The sequence below is a fragment of the Homo sapiens genome, chromosome 8, assembly GCF_000001405.40.
Source record: "Homo sapiens chromosome 8, GRCh38.p14 Primary Assembly".
Classification (NCBI taxonomy): domain Eukaryota; kingdom Metazoa; phylum Chordata; class Mammalia; order Primates; family Hominidae; genus Homo; species Homo sapiens.
In genome coordinates, this window is record NC_000008.11 from 68,797,942 (window position 1) to 68,821,558 (window position 23,617).

At 36.7% G+C, this 23,617-nt stretch overlaps 1 protein-coding gene across 9 annotated transcripts in view; it reads left to right on the top strand.

Annotated features, from left to right (window-relative positions):
• C8orf34 (chromosome 8 open reading frame 34) overlaps positions 1–21,082 on the top strand; it is a 488,651-nt gene extending 467,569 nt beyond the window's left edge. For 7 of the 9 annotated variants that reach the window (NR_146186.1, NR_146187.1, NM_001349477.1 and 4 more), the window contains 2 exons: positions 17,945–18,004; positions 20,298–21,082. Coding sequence is in view for 7 of the 9 variants with exons in the window: in NM_001349477.1 (NP_001336406.1) it covers positions 17,945–18,004; positions 20,298–20,305 (68 nt within the window). In the remaining 2 variants the exon portion in view is untranslated. The remainder of the gene's footprint in view (positions 1–17,944; positions 18,005–20,297) is intronic. The other 2 variants (XM_047421328.1, XM_047421329.1) reach the window with 1 other exon arrangement.

Genomic DNA, 23,617 nt, shown 5'->3' on the forward strand with positions numbered 1-23,617 from the left:
TAGAGAAAAGACATAACACTCACTGGAAACAACTAAGAATAAAACAACAATAGTAGTACAATAAAAACACATGAAGACAGCTAGAAAAATGAGCTCTTAAAGAAAAAAAGACAAAACTTTCTAGTAGTCTGTAGTAGGTTCTTTCAGAAGATCAAAAGAAATCTTGATAATTTTTCCTTTTTAAAAATTTTATTTATTTGTTTATTTATTTATATATTTAGCTTTTAAATAGAGACAAGGTCTTGCTATGTTGCCCAAGCTGGTCTCAAACTCCTTGAGCTCAAGTGCTCCTCCTGCCTTGGCCTTGCAAAGTGTTAGGATTACAGGTGTGAAGCATTATGTCTGGCTTTTTTTTTTTTTTTTTTTTAAACAGAGTCTCATTCTGTCACCCAGGCTGAAGTGCAGTGTGCAGTGGCGTGATCACAGCTCACTGCAGCCTGGACCTTCCCAGGCTTGATAATTTTTTAATCCTACATCTTCATTTTCAACATATTATGAGCTTCAGAAAGTTCTAAAGCGTCTAAAAAGTTCAGGGCATCTAAACTCTTATCAGATGATAAATCTCTAAATTAGGTATATCAGATATCTGCATATTTGTTATGCTACTATCATAAATATTTTAGGATTGATCTTTAACCCATAAATATAAAAATAAGGTAAAAACAATTACTGTCAATTATTTGTTAAAAGCAAAACATTCCAATGCCAAATTGCAATTTTTCATTATAATACTGGTTGTAGAGAATTATTTGGATCTGAATAACTTCTTTACAGTTTCTAGAGGGCAAATGCCTCTGAATCATTTGTGTGCTATTCTTATTTTGAAATGTTCCCCATGTTTGTGGTAAAACTGTGATATTATGAAAGGTCCAATTGATTCCTAAGGCCCTAGAAAAAAATTTAAAGAGTAACATTTAGTAACATATAAAACTTAATCTCACCACATAAAGTATTATTAAGTGTAATGGAAAAATGTGTCAAGTTGCTCAACAATATATAAGGTTACATGCTTCAGACTACCTGCTTTGTTTATTAACATGTCTTTGTCATGTGCAATACTCACCAGAAAATGTCATAACAAGCATCAGAGAAGGCTGTATTTAAACAATGAGATGATAGAACTATTCTTTTACAATGCATAATTATTTGGATTGGAGCAATGCGTGGAGTTGAAGTCTTTAAAAGTTAGAATAGGGGATGCATGGCCCAAATTTTTGTTATTTTTAAAAATCAGAGTTATAAAGGAGCGGCACATGTTTTTAATTATTTTATTAAACACTTTTTATTTGTCTTGGAATATTCTTATATTTGCTCCAGGTGTGGCCTACAACTACAAAATAAAAGAAAATCTACTTCATTCTTTAACCTTGATGGACGTAGGTTATAGGTCAGCCTTATATCAGATGGAGCATATCTTTCACAAGTAGGAATGTATTGGCTGACTGCAAGCAAAGCCTATTGTTTTTCTCTATGGATTGTTTTGTATATTTTTTGTCACTGCAAGAACTTGAGCATATTCATACCAGCCAAGGTGTTTCATGATTTTCTTTGGCTCTTTTTGAAGCATTGACCTGCTTCACCTCCTCAAATTAAACAGATCTGAGATTTTTATCCCAAACCAGGAATTTAGTTAAGATTTTCCAATGAGTCTCATAAACCCTATGGGCCAGATTACCCCCTTAAAGCAATCATATTTGTGGATCTTGAAAAGTCAACATACATATACTGAGAAGCTACCATATGTTGGGCTTTCTTGTGTGTTTCCCCTATCAAGTTATAGAGAAGTCCATAAGCATCTGAAGCATTAGGCACACTGTTTCTTAAGAGAAGTAAAATGTTAAAGAAACCATAGGAAGGAAATATCACAGAGTTGACAGTAGAAACACGAGATTGGAGAGATTGGAGAGATCTTCATGAGGCAAATGGTGTTTGAACTGAGGGATGCATAATATTTTGAAGGGCAGGGATGGACAAGAAGGTCATATAGGCAAGAACCACAGCATGGGCAAGGACACAAAGACAGGAAGAATACTGGTTACACTTGATGGCCCAGGAAACATAGCAATTAATACTGTTTGGGGAGACACATTAGACACAGGGGGTGAGAAGGAAATATGCCTGGAAAACTAAGTCATGAGAAGAGCAGAGAGGGTCCAGGTTGTAAAGATAAGAAGTGTGAATTGATTAAGTAGATAGCAGGAAAACCTTTGCATAGGGAAGAACTCTAATGAGAGCATTTATATCTGTAGCTTTGGATTCAAATAATTCAAAACTTGAGGAGGCCCAGGTGTCTGGCTCTTTGCATATGTCATGAATTGATGAGAAGAAAACTGGGTTCTAAACTACCTCTGCACTAGTCCTATCTCAAAGAGTAAGCACCTCCCTGAGACACATTTTTTGTACAAAAGACTGTAGAGTAATTTGGGTTTTTTTTAAGAAAGCTATCTATCTTCTTTATTAGGCAGAGAGTAAAGTTAGACCAATAGTGCAGCCTAGCTCATAGGAGGATGAAACAAATAATTTAAGAAGTGCTTTTTAAAACTTTGCTTTTACTGAGTATAGTTATTAATCTAAACAACAGTAAATATATGTAACTGGGTTATATTTTTAATTCTGTAAAACTTGATTAATTTTCAGAGTAAGCCCTTACCTGAAGTTCCAAAGTATACATGACTACTTCCTATAAATGGATTGCAAATTTTATGTGGCTGTTTTCTCACTGTATAGGTAGTCTCATTGACTCATAAAATTTTAAAGATAGGAAATATCCACCCAACCTCTTAATTTTACAAGTGAGGAAACTGAAGCCCAAAAGAATGACAGTGACTTTTCAGGGCTCTTTAGCTACTTTGTTGATAAGAGGTCAGAAATAAATAAAATTCTACAGAAGTTAGCACACTCTGCTTTCTACGTTCTTCGGCTTTTCTTTTGCTTCAGTGTTGGTGTTCTGAATCCAAAATAAAGAATTCAGATTAGGCCTCTTTAAATGAAAAATAAATGCATATGCAGAGGAGGGATATTCAGGGAATTTATTGTCTATGAGGCTATGTTTACATATTTTCTCTTCTAATTGAGATTTCTTTCTTAATTTTAGATATAACTTTTGAGAAAAACTGCTATTTTGGAATGGCTTACTGCTTTTGTTAAAAGCCTCTCCCAGGGCTCAAGCTGATAGCTAAGGCTGGGGTTTCAAAAGGCACTAAGTGATTGTTTATCTTTGTATTGTAATGTTTAAGAAGAAGAGACTATGAATTACCAGCCCATGGGCTGGGTGTGTCTGCAGATGTGCTTTGTTTGGCCAGAACAATCTTTTAACAAAAATAAATTTAACATTTAAAAATTAGGAGATCTCAAAAAGTTTGGATACTCTCTTTGAAAAACAGAAGATACGGCAATACTAGGCTTGCCTTCTCTCATAGTAAGAATTAGCTTGAGCCGAACATACTGTCCAGTTTGCCATGGTTTCTCCCAATCCAGAATGTTCTCCAACCAATTTGTTTCATTCATTTACCTTCCATTCCTACCTTGGTCAGAATTTAAGGTTGCTATCTCTACCCTCTGATAAGGTAATAAGTTTTCCTTGTTAGCCAAAATTGTTTCCCTCTAGCTGCCCAAGGGTTTTCAATTCATACTGTCATACTGCATTTAAAAAATGTTAACAGTGTCTGAATCCTTCCTGCTAACCAGCAGCTTCTTTCACAAATATACTCTATAGTGTTGATAGGATTAAGTCCACAAAGATTCACATTCAGAACTTAAGGTAAATTAGTTTTGTCTGATGGCATTTAGGTAATTCTCAGAATCTATCTAATGGAAAGAGGAAATACGATGCTTTAATTTGAAGGGGATATGTTTAATAAGGAAAAATAATAAATAGTAAAATTAAAATCACCTATAATCTCACCATCCCAAAATACCCTCTGTGATTACTGTGTTGTTTTTAATGCAGTAATTAAAAAAAAAAAAAGATTCTCATGTGCATTCTCTCTCACACAGGCATGTGCGTACATACATATCCACACCTGAGATCATCTATACAATCATTCATACAATAATATATGATAATATACATTCTATATACAGCTTTATAAAGTGGCTTTAGCATTATATTATAAATATTTTCCATATTGTCAAATAGTCCTCTGTAAGATAATTTCTTTATTTTTTATTTTTTTTGAGATGGAGTTTTGCTCTTGTTGCCCAGGCTGGAATGGAATGGTGCAATCTTGGCATACCACAACCTCTCCCTCCCAAGTTCAAGTGATTCTCCTGCCTCAGCCTCCCGAGTAGCTGGGATTACAGGCATGCACCACCATGCCTGGCTAATTTTGTATTTTTAGTAGAGAAGGGGTTTCTCCATGTTGGTCAGGCTGGTCTTGAACTCCCGACCTCAGGTGATCCACCTGCCTCGACCTCCCAAAATGCTGGGATTACAGGCGTGAGCCACCATGCCCAGCTGGTGTAAGATGATTTTTAAAATAAGTACATAGCATTTTATTATCTGGATGTACTATAACTTATTTAATCACTCTTCTACAGTTCATATGCCATTTAAAACTTAATTACGATTATTATTTGAGACAAGTTCTGTCTCTTGCTGAGGCTGGAGAGCTGTGGTGTGATCTCAGCTCATTGCAACCTCTGCCTCCCGGGCTCACACCATCCTCTCACCTCAGCCTCCCGAGTAGCTGGGACTACAGGGGTATGCCACCATGCCAGATAATTTTTGTAGTTTTTGTGGAGACAAGGTTTCCCCATGTTGCCCAGGCTGGTCTCAAACTCATGAGCTCAAGCAATCTGCCTCTTTAGGAGGCAATGGGCCTGCCAAAGTTTTCGGGCTACAGGCATGCACCACCGTGTCCAGCCTAAAATCATTTTAAATAATACCATGAAGAATATATTTGTGCATTCAATTTTACATGTATTAGTGATACATATTTTCAAAGTTTGTTAGACAAACCTGAAAATTCAAATGTAACACAGAACTTTCTAGAAAATACAATTTACCAAAGCTGACACACAGGAAATAGAAAATCTGAGTAGTCGTATATCTATTAAAAATTAAATTAATAATTTAAAAACCTCATATTAAAATATATTCAGGCCCATATGGGGCCTGAATTCTTTTAAACTTTTAAGAAATAATTCTAATATTATGCAAACACTTCCATAGAATACAAGAGGAAACACTTCCCAATCCATTTTATGAGACTAGCTAACCTCGATTCCAATACATAACAGAAGAATTATAAGAAAGAAAAACTTTTTGCCAAATAAGCCAATTGACTTATGAACATAGATATAAAAATTCTAAACAAATTGGTACTAAACCAATTCCTATCATGTATAAAGGGTAATACATCCCTACTACATTGAGTTTATTGCAGAAATGTATTACCAGATTAATTTTTGAAAATTAATCAGGAAATTAGCCACACTAGCATAATAAATGAGATAAATAATGTCAATAATGCATAAAAAGTGTTTGATAAATATTGACATCTAATCATGACAAAAAATTCAGTGGCTTTGAAACGTAAGAAAAATTTCTTAATCTAAAAAAAAAGCGTATTTCCAAAAATCCTACAGCAAACATCATACTTGATGAATTACTGAAGCATTTCTCTTTTAGGTCAGGGATGACCTAAAAGACCAAAATTTCTACGATAATCAAATGAGACCAAAATTTCTACGATAATCAGGAAAAATCTAAACAATTGTTTTTAAATATGCTTTGATACCTTGTTAAAATATACAGAAAAGCAAGTAAATGCGTACATATAAGATAATAGATAGTTTTGTGCAGGTAATAATGATTGAGCTTCAGGGCTGTCAGAATTATATTTCTTAACTTAGATGGTGATCAGTGGGTCATTTTTTTTTAACTGAATTATACTTTTTGTAGTACTTTTTTGCATATTACATTTCACAAATTAAAAAATAGGCAGTGTTGAAAGTGTTCTTGATTTTCTAATAGCTTAGAATAATATTTTTGTGTTGCTTATGAACACTTATTACAAACATTTCTATGTAGAGAATTTAGTTTGGTAGTTCGTGAAAGGTTCACTGTCAACTGACAATTTTTAAAAAAAAATCATCAGTAACATCTTCAATGTATCTGCAGTGGTAATGAATCTAGTTTCAGAATAATTGCAGTCTAACAAAGCATCCTTACTGATGCCACTGCAAATCAATTTTCCTCAACTTTGCTGTCATTTTCTCATTTAAGGCCCTATGTATTGAAACTTAACAATTAAGAGCCAAATCTGCCATCTTCAAACTTTTGCAATTGTTTTATAATGCTCATGTTTTCCCCTCAATTAAAATAAAATACCCCTGAGGACAGATAGCAGATGTTACTTATTCTGTACTTTTCGGAGCATCTTGGCTAGAGATTTAATACCTAAGTGCTAAATAACATGCTTTTATAAATCAAATCAGATGCAAGAATTTTATAAATACCCTTGAAGAAATATAATATTATTTTCATCAGTCAATATGGTAGAGCTAAGTATCCCCTTTATTAATTGCATATAGAATTTCAGAAAAACAACTGGGTTTAATTCATCTATTTAACTTTAACTATAACCTTCAATTGAGAGGCCAAGGCAGACAGATTGCTTGAGCCCAGGAGTTTGAGACCAGCCTGGGCAACATGGCGAAACCCCATCTCTACTAAAAGTACTTTTAAAATTAGGTGCATATCTGTATTCCTAGCTACTTGGTACTTGGGAGGCTGAGGCAAGAGGATCACCTGAGCCGGGGAGGTCGATGCTGCAGTGAGCTGTGATTGCACCAGGGCACTCCAGCCTGGATGACAAGAGTAAGACCCTGCCTCAAAATAAATAAATAAACAAACAAACAAATAAATAAATAAATATTAAAAGACAAGCTAGATTAAGATGAGGAAGGATTCAGGCAGAATAAATACCCTCAATTTTTACTCTCTTCCATTCCTTCCTTCTTAGCTGAGGCTCCTTATGGCAAAACCTACATATAAGGAGAGGGTTTGGGAATTCTGTTGATATAGACCACAAACGTCAGTCCCCTGAAGCAAAGAACTTGGTATTAAAGACAGAAATTATATCTGGCAGAAAAATAGAAGATATCTGGCACAAGGCAGATGCCTGCCTCATTGAATTTCAGGCTTGCATTTTTTTTCTGATATGTAGGTTTAAGTTTTAAATGTTTCCTCTAAGTCCAGCTTTGTTTTCATCCTGCATTTATTTTGTTGAAAGAACAAGCTCTGTATGGATGGTTTAAATCATTTGAAATGTGTTGAGACTTCCTTAATGATCCAGTAAATGACCAGCTTTGGGCAAATGTTTAGAAGCACCAAGTTCTAGGAAAACAATGGTAAAATGTATTTTGCTGTTGTTGGGTGGAGTTTTCTTTATGTGTCCATTAGGTAGAGGTGGCTGATTGTGTTGTTCAAATATTCCGTCTTCTTACTGTATGTTTTGGGGGGTGTTGTTTTATCAGTTAGCAAGAGCTGTGTGTCAACACCTCCTGCTATGACTATGGATTTAACTGTTTCTCTTTGTATCAGTTCCTGCTTTATAAATTTTGGTGCTATATTAGTTTTATATAAATTTAAAAGTGTATCTTCCTGGTGAATTGAACTTTTTATTATTAGGAGATATTTCCTTGTATCCCTAGCAAATAATTCTGCATTAAATTCCACATTCTATGACATTGGTACCCCAGCTTTTTAAAAATTGGTTTGTATGGTATATGATTTTTATTCTCTAACTTTTCATTATTTCTGTAATCACATATATCAGACAATTCTCTTCAAAAACAACATGTAGTTAGGCTATTTGTTTAATCAATTCTAGCAGTCCTTTCTGTTTAACTCATTTAGTTTACTTGTGCGTAGTGTAATTATTATTATACTTATTTTTGAATTTACTATATTACCAACTTACTTTATACTTTATATTTTATTTTCTCCACTATATTATGTTTTCATTTTCCTTCTTTCTTGCCTTTTTTGGGATAATTTTTTTGTTATTGCTCTTTTATTCTATTTTAGCTTGAAGGTTATATACTCTTTTAAGATTCTTTCGATAGTTGTTCTTGAGATTGCAACAATGTATTGTTTAATGTAGAAAAGTCTCATGTCAATTGGTCCTTTTATATTTTAGCTTTGTAAAACTTAAAAAATGTTTAGCTTTGTATCTCTTCATCCCGAATTTTATAGGAGTATTGGCATGTATTTAAATCCCCTGTATATTTTAAAACACCATAAGGCTTTATTATTATTTTTAAATATTGCCAATATCCATTTATATTTTCCCAGTTTTATTCTGTTTGTCACTATTCCTTTTTTTCAATATCTCTGAAATTCCATATTGGATCACCTTTCTTCTGCCTAAATAAAAAAAAAGATTTGTTTTAGTTTGTAATTACTGGTGGTGAATTATCTTTGCCTGAAATTTCTCAATTTCTCCTTTTAAAGGATATTTTCACTGAGTATAAAAATCAAGAAAGTTTTTTTTCTTTCAGCACGTCAAAGATATCATTTTTTCTTTGTGTTGAGAAGATAAAATGATATCTGTCATTTTATTTTCACCTGTAGATTATTACTACTAATAATATTTTTAGTCACCTGTTAGATTATTACGTCTTCAAATGTTAACATTTTCCATTTGTCTTTTATTTTTGCAGCAGTTTTATCATAGTGTGCCTACATGTTATTAAGCTCAGTTTAATCCTAGGTTCTTTGTATTAGACTTGGATGAGCAAAGTGCTTCTAAATCTATCGTTTTTATATGTTTGGTAGCTGTGGATTGTGCCTTGTTCTCTTTTGAGTCTTGTTTTGGTTCCTTTTCCATTCAGCTATTGCTGCCTAACAAATCACCCCAAACCTTAGTGGTCTAAAACAATACTCACTCATTTAGTACATATATCTGCAATTTGGGCGGGGCTCAACAAGGAGGCTCATGCCTTTTCCATGACGTGTCAGCTGCAGTGATTTACCTGGGGCTGGAGATACACTTGCAAGATGGTTAACTCTCATGTCTAGTGAATTGGTGGTTACTGTTGGCTGAGAGTTTATTCAAGGCTGCAGGCCAAAGACCTTGATTTCTCTCCTGTAGACATTTCCTCATGCACCTCTCCATGAAATATTTGGACTTTTTCACATGATTGTAGCTAGATTATAAGAATAAAGACAGGAAGTGGAAAAGTCCTGTTCCTTAAGTCCTAAGCTTGGAAACTCACAGCACCACTTCTGCCATCTTTGTTTGGTCAAGCAGTTGTAGGTAATACAGTCAAGGTCAATGGACATGGTTCTACCACTTGGGAAAACAAAAGAATTTGAAGACTATGTTTTAAAATCACCAAAGCCTTCAATTACACATATGCTAGACATTCTAACTATATGCAAAATAATTCCCCTTAGTTCCTGCTCACATATTTTCATCCATTTAACTCTGAGTATAATTCTGAATAAATGTAGTGTGTTTCCCTCTTTAAATGCTATCAAATCTGCTGTTTAATATATACATTGACTTGTAGTTTTTTTATATTTTGGCATTTTTATTTGGTTCATTTGTAGTTTCTACTTCTTTCTAAAATTCTAGATATTATCTTTAATTTTCTTATTAAGCATATTTATTTTAAAATCCATGTTTGATAAGTTCATTATGTGATTCCTGTGGGTGTTTCTATTCTTTGGTGTTTTTTCTTGGCTTTAGAACACATGGCCTTGTCATCATGTGTGTCTGCTTATTTTTGATTAAGTGTTGAGCATTATATATGATATGTTGCAAAGATAATTTGAGGCCTAGGATGATGTTATCTTCTTCTAGAGAGTATTTTATCTTGCTTCTAGCAGAGGTGCAGGGAAACTAACAATCTGAGATTATTTGAATTAAATAAAAAAGAAAAAAGATTTTAAGTTGGGCTTTATTCCTTGAGAGGGCTGGTATATTTCCATTTTACCCTTACTCCTCCAGTGTGGCCTTTCGGCCTAGAAGCTTAAAACCTAGGGAATTTATTTGGGTAACATTTCTCAGTAAGATTACAACTCCACTTTTTTTTTTCCTTTAGCCTGGGAGGATTTTACAACCCTTCTTTAGGGTCTCAGCCTCTCAGGAGTCTCTCTGGAATTGGTAGATACCTTTAGAGGAAGCATGTCTCCAAATTCTGTGCTCATTTCTTTTTATTTCTTCATTATCTGGGATATTGGCCATTTAATACTTTACTGCTTTGATAGATGTTTGGTGCCTTCACACAGGTTTTTAAAAAATATTTTATCCAGCTATTCTATGCACTTTCAGTGAAATGCTTTATCCAAATAATTTATCCTGCTGTTACTGGATAGGGATTTTTACACTCTAATATAGTTCAATAAATTTGGGCAGAACCATTAAATATTCAGATTATTGCATTTTGTTTTCATGCAGTAGGAAAATATTTACTTTCTAATGGTTTTTATTTTTGCCAAACATAGTATGTGCTTGATAAATATTAGTTCTAAGTTTTTACTTTTAAGTATGTACCATATAAAATGGTTTCTATTTATGAAAAGAGCGTCAATGCAATCAGCCTGCTGTATCTACTGGGTTTTGCATCTGCAGATTCAACCAACCGTAGATCAAAAAATAATATATATATATATAAAGAAATAAAAAATAAAAACATTTGCATAACATTTATACTGTATTAGTTATTATAAGTAATGTAGAGATTATTTAAAATATATGAGAGAATATGCATAGGTTATTTGCAAATACTGTGCCATTTTTTATGAGGGACTTGAGCATTTTTTATAAGGGACTGTGCCATTTTTTATAAGGGACTTGGATTTTAATATCCGCAGGGGTCTTGGAACCCATAGGACAACTATATTTAGTTTATCTGCTCTCCTACAAGGACTTCAGTCTTTTGCTTATTATTAGGTTTCTATTTACTTTTACTGATGTAATTATTGACATAATATTCTTACTCCTTTATATAGTTTTGTTGCCAGCCACTTAAGTGTTCACTGTAATTACTAATGATTCACCCTTTTTTGTGAGCATACACATCTGCCACTTAACTTTCTCAGTGGGAGGCTCATTTCCTTTTTCTGGAGGCTATCATGAAGTGGAAAAAAACCTGGAAGTCAGAAGACTCAGCTAAGGTCTTGCTTCTTCCCGGTGGTCCCAGACTAGTAAATTGCAGAGAAAGGGCTTGCACTCAAGTGCATCTACAGTTGCCCAATTGTCAGATTTTAACTATAAGGGATATACTAACTACATGATAGTAAAGGCAAATGCTCTCCTCTAGGGTTCTCTGCTAAATACTTTCTGCCTTTTACTTACTAACTAGAAATGATTTCTCTTTCACCTGTAAAACTAGAGCTCATTTTTCTGTGTCTCTTAATTATTCTATGGCTTCTACATTCAATTTATGCCTCTGATACAATTTAGCACTACAGGGGAAAGGTTTTATAGTCCTAATTTGGGGCAAAAAGAGTGACCTCTCTATTAGATGAGTTCATAGGTGATATATTTGTCTTATGCAATGCTCTTAGGTGCTCTCCCAAGCTGGAGGAAAGGGTTTTGGAGCCAGCCATGGTGCATGCCTGTGGTCCCAGCTACTGAGAGGCTGAGGCAAGAGCCCAGGAGTTGGAGTCCAGCTTGAGCAATTTAGCAAGTGAGACTCCAAAACAAAAAAGAACCCATTACTCAGGATTTTCATCATGTAAATATTTCATACTCCTAAATGGGGGACCCAGTGTTATACCATCATTAATCCCAACCTACCTCCTTTTTCCTCCACTTCAGACTTAAGTGAAGAAAACCAATGAATAAACTATTCCCTCGAGCAGATGTTATACTGTATTTCCATTGTTTGAGCTAGTATAGAAGTTGACTGGCATGGTCTCATTGGAGGTAGTCTGAGGATAGATATGGTGGCTGAAGAAACTACTTGTGTAGGCATAATAAAGATGGCATGTGACGATTAAAAAGAAGAGCTCTAAGCACAGAGCTCCAAAAGTGTGACATAATACTTTTTTCTTACTGAGTTAGCATATATTTTAATGGAGAGCTAACTGAATAATAAATTGAGAAAAGTGACACTAGCCTAATGTCAATCTTTGGGGATCTTTGGGGTATTGCTTCACCAGCTGGAAACCTCTGTGGCCAGTGGCATCTTTGCCTAGTTTTGCTTGAGCCTGCTGGTCTCATCCTGCCTGCTTGGCCTGGCAGGCTGTGCTTGGCTCGTGCTACCCTCCCAGATCCCATGCCTGCCAAGGGCAAGCCAGGCACAGAGTAGTAAGGGGTGCGTGAGTGAGCGGGCACAGGGTCTGGCTACTACACACAGCCAGGCATGCTGGCTGCGGCAGGGCAGGCAGCTCCAGGTGCCAGCACGGACATTGTCTCCTTTGAGGCTGCGGCTGGACTAGGCATACTGCAAGCAGCTTCTGCTGCTGGCAGTGAAGAATGTGGTGGTGCCTGTAATCTTGGAGATGCCAGGAACCACAGAGCCCCAAAGAGGGTGTCAAAGCTCTGGCTCAGGGAGCTCCTACTTCTGGGGTCCCTGAAGGGCCACAGCTCTTCTCTCCTTCTCTCTTCTCTACTTCTCGTAGCCCGCAAGGTGGTGAGTGAGGGGCATGTCTCAACCCTGTTTGTGTTAAAGCTCTTTCAGTCCTGCTGTTTGGGGGGTTGCAAGTTCTTGTCCTCCATCCAGGAAAAATGAGGTACGCATACAACTGGAGGGTGAGTAAGGTCAAGAAGTGCTTTATGGAGTGCCAGGATAGCTCTCCAGAGACTCCAACTGGGTAGCTCCTCTCTATAGGCAGGTCATCCTGACATCTGCTCAGCTCTCGCCTGAGAGGAGACCCACAGTGGGTAGCTCCTCTCCACAGACAGGTGGTCCCGACATTTGACCAAGTCTGGCTGAATCCAGGTTTTTATGGGCTTCAGAAGGGAGGAAGTGTGTACTGACTGGTCCATGCGTGCGCCTAGGAGAAGCATCATAAGTTCTCACTCTGGTCTGCAGAACTGGCAGCCCAGCCCCCAGGCTTCAGTCCATGCACAGCTTAAAGGTAGAGCTTTACTGGGGACCCAGCACTTTCTGCCCTGGAGCCTGTCTACCTCCTGCCGCCATCAACCTGCCATTCACGGTGCCCATGGTGCCCAGGTTGTTTGTGCCATAGGGCGCCTGTAGGCCTGCTCTGAGCTGCCCTCAGCACCCCCTCGACCCTTCTCCCGTGCTTGTCGGTGCTCAAAATCTGGAGGGGGCTGAGGCAGCAGGGGGCTGACATGTCAGCTCTGCCCCAAGTGCATGCACACCCAGCTGGGTTGTGACAGTGCCTGAACTGAGCCACAACTTTGCTCCGAGGTCGGAGTGGGCATCAGGAGTAGGGGAGAGGCCAGGCAGCGGGAGCAGTCACTTCCGAGCCTGCAGGGGCAGGTGATCTTCCTGGGCCCCCAAGAGCACAAGGATGCCTGGGTCCAAAGCCGTGACTGAACAGCTGCACCTGTGCCCTTTGGGCGGGGCTCCCACCCTGCCAACTCAGACGCAGGCAGCTTCCACCTTTTCCCAGCTCCCATTGGCTCCATGGAGTGCACATCCCTGGCCACGCCTCCCCTACTACAGCTGGTGTCTTCGCAGCAGCCGCTCCAGATGGTCCACTGCTGCAATCACTAACATTAAATAGATCCGCCAAATCTCTTTTGGAGAGATATTTAGAATCATAGCATTCCATTTCTCCTTAAAGCCTATTATGAGCCATTGACGTTTTAAAGCTTATACAGAAACAAATGCATTTCTGAAGGAGGAGGAAATGGGACAGAAGTAACATTTATTAAATTTTGATTGTTATGTGCCATGTAGTGGTATCTTATTTAATCCCTGTGACAATGTATTGTATGGGTATTATTAATATGATTTTACAAACTCAGATTTGTTAAATATTTTTTCCCAAGAATACAGAATTAGTAAGTGCAATTTAAATTCGAATCTAACCCAAGACCAGATCCTCCACTCCGAAATTTCACTGTGTCCCTAAAAGCTAAATAATCCTTTCAGGGTGGGAGGGATGTGTGTAAAGATAACATCAAGAGAGGAATGATCTCACTCTGCACTGAAAGAGTTTTAACATAAAGAAAACACTATAAAATAAGAACATAAGGGAAAACAACATATAAAGAAACTGAAGCAGTAATACATTTGAGTAGAAAATCTGCTTTTAATAGAAACTTCAACTTGATGTAGTTATATTTACAGTGTTCCAAATTATTATCTACAAGCAAAGTCATCCAGAAAATTAAGGGAGCCATATATGATAAACATAAAAATTAGAATTTTGACAGAATAAAATAAATAGCATTTAGTAATTACATTAAGTATGTTTTCAATCCCATGGTAAGCTATTAAAAGTACAACAACTGTTCAAAGCATGCTGCCAAATTACTTCAAAATGACTTGTTTTGAAATGTTGACTAAGTATCTCAAAACTGTATATCGTCTTTAGTATAATTAAACATTCTTCAGACCAAAAACATAGCTTTTTCTTGTGTTCTTAGACATAAATTATATGTGACTTTCTCTTCCATATTAGGACACATAGGATTATCCATTTTAAAACTTTAAAATTTTTTTTAAGGTTTCTACCACTTATATAAGGCTTTATAGTTTATACATCACTTCTACCTAATTATAAAAAATTAGCCTATTAAGAAAAGTTTAATCTTAAAATCCCTATTTTTCATTGTAAATGTTCAACATATACTTAATAGATATTTATGCGTTCATAATTTTTTTACTTAACAAATATTTATTGAATCAACTTCATGAATGAATAAATGAATAAATTTAGTTCAAATTGGTTACGTAACTTTTAAAGATCACTTGAGAAGGGGCCACACCTCAGTCTCTATCTTTATCTTCTGTTTATTCAGGGAGGTCATAACCTCTAGAAACACAGATACATGCGTGTAATAAGTGGTTTGTTGATATCTGATAGAAAACAGGATGTGTTTAATGACATATCATATGTTCAATGTGCTGTTCTTCTGTAGTAATCATAGTTCATCAGAGTTGCAATGAACATGGTGCATCAACATAGAATTCACTTTAATCCCAACACGTGCTTTGTCATGTATTGCCTTAGGTGATTTGTTTTGCTGTTTCTCTCTGAAAAAACTTGTAGCATATGGCGTTATCCTCAAGAAGAAATAGTGTTCTAATCCATAATATTATGTTTATTTTCAGAGTTGATGGCCACTCTCTTATTTGTTTTCCCCATCAAAGCTGCTTCATTTCTTACATTCCCACAAGTATAGGAAATAATGGGCTATCCCTAGTATAGGGGGAGTCCTACTTCAAAAGAAAAGGAAGCAGTACCAGGCTGAATGCCTAAGTGATTTCCATGCAAGAAAAGCATTATGTCAAAGGTTATTTCAGAAACTTGAAATCAGATAATTCTGTTTTTTTTTTTTTATTCTCTGTTATCCTTGGCCACCCTCCCTTGCCCCACACTCTAATCAAAATAAAGTCTTCTCCTGCACTTGTACTGTTGAATATTTTCCAGATCTTTGCACCATGCTCTATGGGACTGGAACTTGATTGGCAAATTGATTGTTCTTCAGTGGTATTAAAATAATACTTTACATGCTTTTTTTTTGGTCTTATTTGAAATGGTTTCCTCCTGGAAAACATTGGGTCCCTGTTAGCCTCCTCCAGAGGAAGCTGTTGCTTCTCTCCATTGCCCTGTGCCAAGCACCATGAGATAGCATCAACATTCTACCTGAAATTCCTTTTTTAAGGCTCCTAACATTTGTTGTTGTTCTGTTCTCATCCTGGTCACTATAGTCTTACCAATCACTTTTCTTCATTCCTGTGAGATGCTTCCATCGGGCTCACTGTTTTCCTCTCTACCGCAACTATTTTCATCAGAAAATTTTAACTGCTACTTGGGTGACTTACCCAATATCCTGCCATTATAATTCCTTGCTTCTCAAATCTAGTTATTCTCATAGGCTGTATATACTTTTTTCTTATCAAATGTGAAATAGCATCCAACTCTAAAGTCTTACATTACTGTAATCTGCTATCTGTCACAAACCTCCTTCCCTTACAATTCCTCATTTTCTACTAAACCTGCACTTCAGTCTTGTTTTGGTACCCAGACACTTGATTACTCATCTATCTCCAAGTATGTAAGACCACAGCTAGCTTCATCCTTCACTCTAAGGTCTGTGCTACACTGAACAGTGATGCTCAAAGTGAAGTTCTCAAACAAGCAGTATCAGCATCAACATCTCTTGGGAATTACTAGAAGCACAGTTTCTTTGGGCTCCATCCCAGATCTACTGAATCAGAAACTCTGATGTTGGAGCCCAGCAACCTGTGTTTTAAAAAGCCCTCTGGCTGATTCTTATACACTCTAAAATTTAAGAACTACTAATACAGAGCATGAATTCAACCACTCCCTTGCCAGCACCTTTAATGTCTTTGGGTGGCAAAGAACACTAGAACAAAAATACATCATTATTTTATTTCAAACCCTTCCATGTATAAGATTTCTAACAATTCACCAAGTTCTCCAGCTGTATCCAGCATCTACCTTCCATATACAACCTCCACCTTCAATCCAAATATTTTTTTGTAGTTCCTATTCATCTAAATTTTAATACCGAAAAATGTTAAATACCCATTACTTGATACTTCCAAAGGTGTTTTGCTTAGAACCATCCTCTGTGAAGGATGCTGAGCAATGCTAACTTACTCAAAGTGACATATATAGGAAAGGGTGAAGATAAGATTTAAACTCAGTTCTAGCTTAATATAAAATCCATGCTTTTTTTCCATTTTTCTGCAGAATGTATGAAATGACAACCAAATCAATAAGCCATTTCATTCGAGTTGAAGTAGCACTTAACCAATGAATGCTTTATAGGATTTTTAAAAGTGATTGTTCTATAAAAATCTACTATAAAATAACTTTGCTAAATATCAGGTTAAATCATTTTCCTTAGTGTAGGACTTCTAAGAATCTTAAATGTGCTGTTGTATATTTCGATGCTTCAAAAATCAGATATAGTATGATGTTGTCCAAAATTATTTGACCAATGAACCATTTGTTTGTGAATCATCTAGATTAACATCTTGTAGGGCTAGTGTTCCAAGAGATGCTGTGGAAAATTTGGACTTAATCTATTTCCATTCTTTTCGAGACATGTGGAAATGCTTATCTTTCTTATTTCATCTGCTTTCACCCTCTGTTTTATTTTGTCACTCTTTTGAACTAGAATAGTCATGCCCCATTTCCCCACTAGGTACTACTTTTCCCTTCCTTCAAAGATAGTCTTATATTCTTCTGCCTCAGGGCTGGGTTTAGAGGAATCACATTTAGCCTATAATGCTATGAACCAGACAATATAGTGTGTGTGCATATATATGGGTACACACATATATATATATACACATATACACATACACAGACACACACATATATATACTACCTCATGAAATCATATTTCTTGATAATATGGTACTAATTTATAATTTTGTAGCATCACAATAAGTAGCGTGTACCTGTCTGGGGCTGAATAAGCTGTGTTAGGGGAGCAGTCTGCAGAGCAGACCATGGCTTTCCTGCCTAATCCACCTTGGGCATCACAATTATGACTGCAATTCATATGGGATCTTCACACAGACTACATACATATCCAGAACACTATCTGGAGGGGCATTTTGCCTTACATTTTATTGGAAAAATTACCGGAGGTTTAAGTGGAAAATGACTGAATAATGGAATGAAGATATACACACTTCTAAGGAGTTAAAATACAGAATGGCAGCACAGTACATACTATAAATGTAGTTTTAATATTAATTTCAATTAATCTTCACTAGAAATTGGCTAAAGCGCTAGGGAATGGTATTTAATCGATGATTTTTCCTGGCCTGGCATATTATCTCTGTTTCTTTTGTTGTGCAGGTTCCGCTGATCTTCTTCTTTGCGTTCCATGCTCTTCTTGTCCTACGCTGGTCTACTCTGGTATGTTTGCTCAGGGCACTTAATATCGATGTCGGGTAATGGCGGGTACCTTCTAAAACTGCTCAGGATTTGTATTAAAAAAGTACGTAGTCCTCATGACCTCTAATGAGAATAGGTTTTTCTCCAAGTATCCTGCATAAGATTATAAGATTTCCTAAGAGTGTGTGTGTGTGTGTGTGTGTGTGTGTTTCTCTGTGTGTGTGTGTGTGTGTGTGCATGTTCTATAGGTTTTGGAGTTCTCATTTAGTCTGCACTCTCCCTTGCTAAGGTGGGAGGATGGGGATTTTAAACCCTTTCTCCTTGACAGGAAAAATAATATCTTCTAGATAGATATGAGCTGAAAAACATATTCTCCCACATGCAGGCCATGGACTCTATGATGCTATTATATATCCCCTGCAGTTATAGGATCTCAGAACAATTTCGTGTCCATGAATATGAGGCTACTTTATGAACTGGATACACAAAGATAAAAAATAAAACACTTTGTCATCTCTTAAGTATGTTCCAGAGAAAAGCAAAGGTGTTGAGATTGTCCTTACCACTTATAGAATCACAGAATATCAAACTGGAAAGAACTTAGAACCAGCTACTCCTTCCCTAATTTAATGCTAGCCTTTTCTCTGCAATACCCCTACCAAATGGTCACCCAGACTCTACATAAACACCTTGAGTAATGGGGAGTTTACTGTTACCCTTGTCTGCTCATTTAATTTTGCTCTGCTGTAATTGCTCTTGAGTCAATAATTCTGCATTAGGACATTATCTAAATAAATAATTTCTTCAATGTACTATGATATAGCTATCAGAATATTATGTTCATTGCCATACATTTTATAATAAAGCATGAAAAATGTTTTACAAGAGAACACGGAAAGCATGTAAAAAATAGAAACAACCTAATAACCAAAAAAGAGACTGATTAGAAAAACTATAGCAATCTGTATATTAGAAAGCTATGAATCCATTATGAAGGATGAGATATATATTAAGGATATAGGTACACAACTATCACGTGGTTCTCTTCCTCAGCCCATCAAGTGTGCTTTGTATGACATACAGGCATACTGCTGTTCTGTTCAAGAGCTCTAACCAAGTAAATCACTCATATGATTCATATTTAAAACCTATAATGGATCAGGAACTACTGTCAGAGAATAGCACAAGTCATTATCATGGGTGATACAGCACCTATCATAGGTTTTCTTATCATGGAACTTACTAAATTGTGGAGAAGAAACACAGTGAACAGCTATTTACAGAAAATGCGCTGATGGTGATTATAGAAGCATGAGGATAAGTATGCATATCAGGAGAGTTCTATCTTGACTAGTAGTCAAAGGGTCAAGAGAAAGTAATGTCTAAGGGTAAGGCCTAAAGGAATGTAATATGCAGTTGATAAAAGAGTTAGCTGGGGTTAGTTGGAGTAAGTAAAGCATTCCAGATAAATAAAAAGTGTGTGCAAAAACAACCAGACTCTCCCTCTCTTTCTCTTCCTCTCTAACTTTTCTCCCTCTCTTTCATCAAATAAATATTTCCGAAGCCAATGCCACACACAAAGCATTACTTCAGGTAATGTGAGTAAGATGGAGATTGAAGGTCTTCCTTCAAAATGTTTATGGTCTAATTGGCGAATCAAAAATATTAAATATAACTATGATACAAAGCAGAAAAAACATGTAAAATATTCTAGAAACATGAATATTTTCCCTTGCCATCTGTATTAGTCCATTTTCACACTGCTATAAAGACATACCTGAGACTGGGTAATTTACAAAGAAAAGAGGTTTAAGTGCCTCACAGTTCAGCATGGCTGGGGAGACCTCAGGAAACTTACAATCATGGCAGAAGGCAAAAGGGAGGCAAGACACCTTCACAAGGCATCAGGAAGGAGAAATGCCAAGTGAAGGGGGAGGAACCCCTTATAAAACCATCAGATCTTGTGAGACCTCACTATCCTGAGAACAGCATGGGGGAAATCATACCCATGATTCAATTACCTCCACCTGGTATCTCCCTTGAGATTATGGGGATTGTAATTCAACGAGATTCGGGTGAGGACACAAAGCCTAACCATATCACCATCTAATGTGATTAGAATTTTACACAGATATCAGAAATTGATATATTGGCTGCAAATATGATTAATAGAGGTAGTATTCTAATGTCAATATCCTTTCAAAAGTTCATTGGAATAGAGGAAAGCATTAAAATCACAATTTTTCTTTTTAATATGCTATAATGTAAACATGTTATTAAGCACATTTTCTTCTGTTTCATTTCTCCTCTGCAGGTTTGTGAAACAGAGAGAAGAAGTTGCAAGTGGTCCTTAAAGAAATGCAGTTATTCAAATCCTTATGTATAGTTCTAATTTTATTTACTATGTGTAATCATTTAGAGAATGGTTATTTTTATAATCTCAATAATAAACAAGTACTATCGTAGCCAGGGGGTGCCCAAGTATGTAATCAGAGAACACTAATCCTGGCAAAGGATTGTGGGGTGGTCAGGAGGCCGGCTGCCTTTTGACATGGTTAGAGTCCTGGGTTTAGATTACTTTATAAATAGTTATTAAGATTAATATTTGATATATTAAATATTGCCTGATTCAAATAACTTTGCTTAAAATTTTTCTGTATTTTAACTTGTCTAGGGTTTTCTACTTCTTCTATTTTTATAATATTTTCTCATTTTTTAGATTACTAAACATTCTACTTATCCACATGTGCCAAGATGTGCCATTTAGGTCTCTGCAGAAATTAGCTGTTTGGTATCATCACCTGCCATACATGTTGTGTGCAGCAGTGAGAAGTATATTCTCTACCACTGCTCTTTCTCATGATTATTTTCTCTATTCCTATTAAAATGAATAATTGATATGTTAATTAAGTAAAGCAAATCAATAAGGAATGAAATGCATGGCCCAAAACATAGAAAATGAAAATCGTTTGACCATTTATCCAATTATTGAACCCAATTAAGATGATCCATTTTAAATTTAATATATGCTCGCTTTTGGAATGTGTTATGCATTGATGTTAAGTGAATGGATCTAAGTAAATCTATTGATATCTCTACTGTCTGTTTTATTTTATTTGTCTTAATCTAAGTTTGCTTTCTGGACCTTTAAGACATAAAGTTAAATTACAAAACTATATAACAAGGAACTATATCAAGGAAACAAATGTTGTTAAAGGCCAGAACATGGATAAAGAATAAAAATAATTCAGATTGTATAAATTAAGTCAATTCCCTAAATCAAATAATATAATAATTTTTCTTACATTAACATTTTCTTGTGTATAGAAACTCATGTGACTCATTTTAATAAAATTTGTATGTTTTATAGGTAGAAAAAAGGAAGGTTTAGAAACAGTAAATTTTTTAATCAGAAAGGAGAGAAGGCAAGAGAGTAAGTTTAGGGGACCAGAACGTTCTTCTATTTAAAACTCCTTGCCATGAGGAATATTTCTTCGAAATTGTTTAACTGAGGATCCAAATGCTTTTTCTATTAGAAATATTCTTTCTTTAAAAAATGTCACTCCTAATGTTTTCATCTGAGCCGCGCTTTCCTCCAACCATTGCCTGGTTGGTTTTCATCCTCTTCTTGCTCACTGAGCTTTTCCTGGAAATAGTTACCCTACTAAGTGCCTCATCAGCCTCAAAAATCAGATCCCCCAGGATATCAGAATGTGTATTGCTGAAGGTGCTGTCAAAGATAAAGAAAACCAGACACCGAGGGAAGTGGTAAAGACAAATTTTCATTAGTCATAAATAATTGCAATAGAGAAGTAGGTCCAGTGTGAACTGAACTGAACTACGATTTGTGCAGAGGTGGCTAGGCCTTATAGAGGAAGGATGAGGAGCTAGGGACAGGGAACAGCAGGGGCTTGAGCAGAATCAGGGAAGTGGACATTTACAAAATGTGAGAAAGTGGGGTTGGTCCATGTGGAGCTACCTTGGTTTGCAAACTGGCATTTATCAAAGTTAGATTCCTACTCCCCCTCCAAGACTGGGAGACAGGGACCCTATTCAGGTGTTGGCTGGTACAAAACAGTAAATTGTTTTGCAACCCTGAGCTTTCTCAGTCAGGAACTTATGGCGCTGGAGTCATCATCCTAAGGATATGCCCTTGAGCTGTTAGAAACTATGTTAGTATTTGTTCATGTCTTTTAAAGTGGGGGACAGGGGTGGATGAAATTGTTTATGCTGACATTTTGTGGTTTTAGGCCAAGGTTGAGGGTTAGTTGAGAAGAGGACTCAGAGGAGCTTGGCTGGTGTTTAGTCAAGGAGAAAATCTTCATCAACGGCTATGAGGCAGGACACAGACACACACACACACACACACACACACACACACACACACACACACCATTCTCTGCTCTCTTTTCTTTGTCAATGACTTTAACCATTTCCTCATGGCCAAGGCCAGAGGTCAAGGCCAGTGAACAGCTAAATACCAAATCAGGAAATTTCTCCAGGTCGCTTCCCAATCTTTTGTTTCAAATGTCACACATGAAACCTGAATCTCTTGGCACCCCTCTTGGCTCTCATTACTCTTTTTGCCTCTTTTGGGTTTCTTAACATAGCTCCAGAGTTACTGCAATGATGAGGCTTGAAAAACCTGCACCAAAAGAGCTTCTCAAAATGCTCCTCAGATTCCATACGTCAGTATCACTGCTGTGAACAGATGGCTTTGGGCCCCACGTTATGCTATGGCCTCCGTGTGTCCCTGGAGCGGGCTGAGGTAACTTCTGACCTTCTGGACATAGAGGCCATCACAGTCTAGTAGGGGAAACACACATATGAGCATATAATTTAAATAACATGTTGTAGTGTGCAATGACAAAAACATTTACAGGCCAGACTACTGTGGGAGCATGAAAGAACAGTTGTGAATATATCTGAGACCTGGACTTGGAAGTGGGTAAGTTGTGGGGTGTGTAGGAAGTCAAAGAAGTCTTCCTGGAAGAGATGATGCCTCAGCAAGTCCTTTAAAGATGAGACAGAGTCAATGGAGCAATAAAGGTAGGTAGGAAGGTCTTAGTGGGAGCAACAGAATAAACCCAGTACGGAAGTCTGAGTGGGCAGAGTGTGCATGGCAATGAGTGCAATAAATGCATGATATTTATTACTAGTGCAGATAGAGTGTGATACGATGTGGTAGTTGATGGGTAGAGAAATGGGCAGGGATTGGGATGAGAAAATTCTCATATGCCACCTGTAGTCTTCAACACTGGCTGTTCAGCAGAATCCCAAATGCTCAGGCCCCACACTCCGGGATTGAGAATTCAGTTGGACTGAGAGGGATGCCAATCATCCATATTTATGAAAAAGCTTCTCACTTGATTCTAATGAATAGCCAAGGATGAGAGCCATAGCTGAAGAGAGCTACTGAAGATTTTCAGCAGGGGAGGGGAGAGTGACACTATTGGATAAACAGTTAGATGAGCTCACCTTGGTAGCTGCAAGTAAAAATGCAGGAGTAGGTGAAACAGGAAGTGGGCAAGCCTAGAAATAGGCAAGCCTGGAAATGGGAAACTAGTTAGGAGTCTATTGCAAGAGTTAACATAAAATGATGAAGGTCTATTTAGGTTTTTATTAGGGCAAACG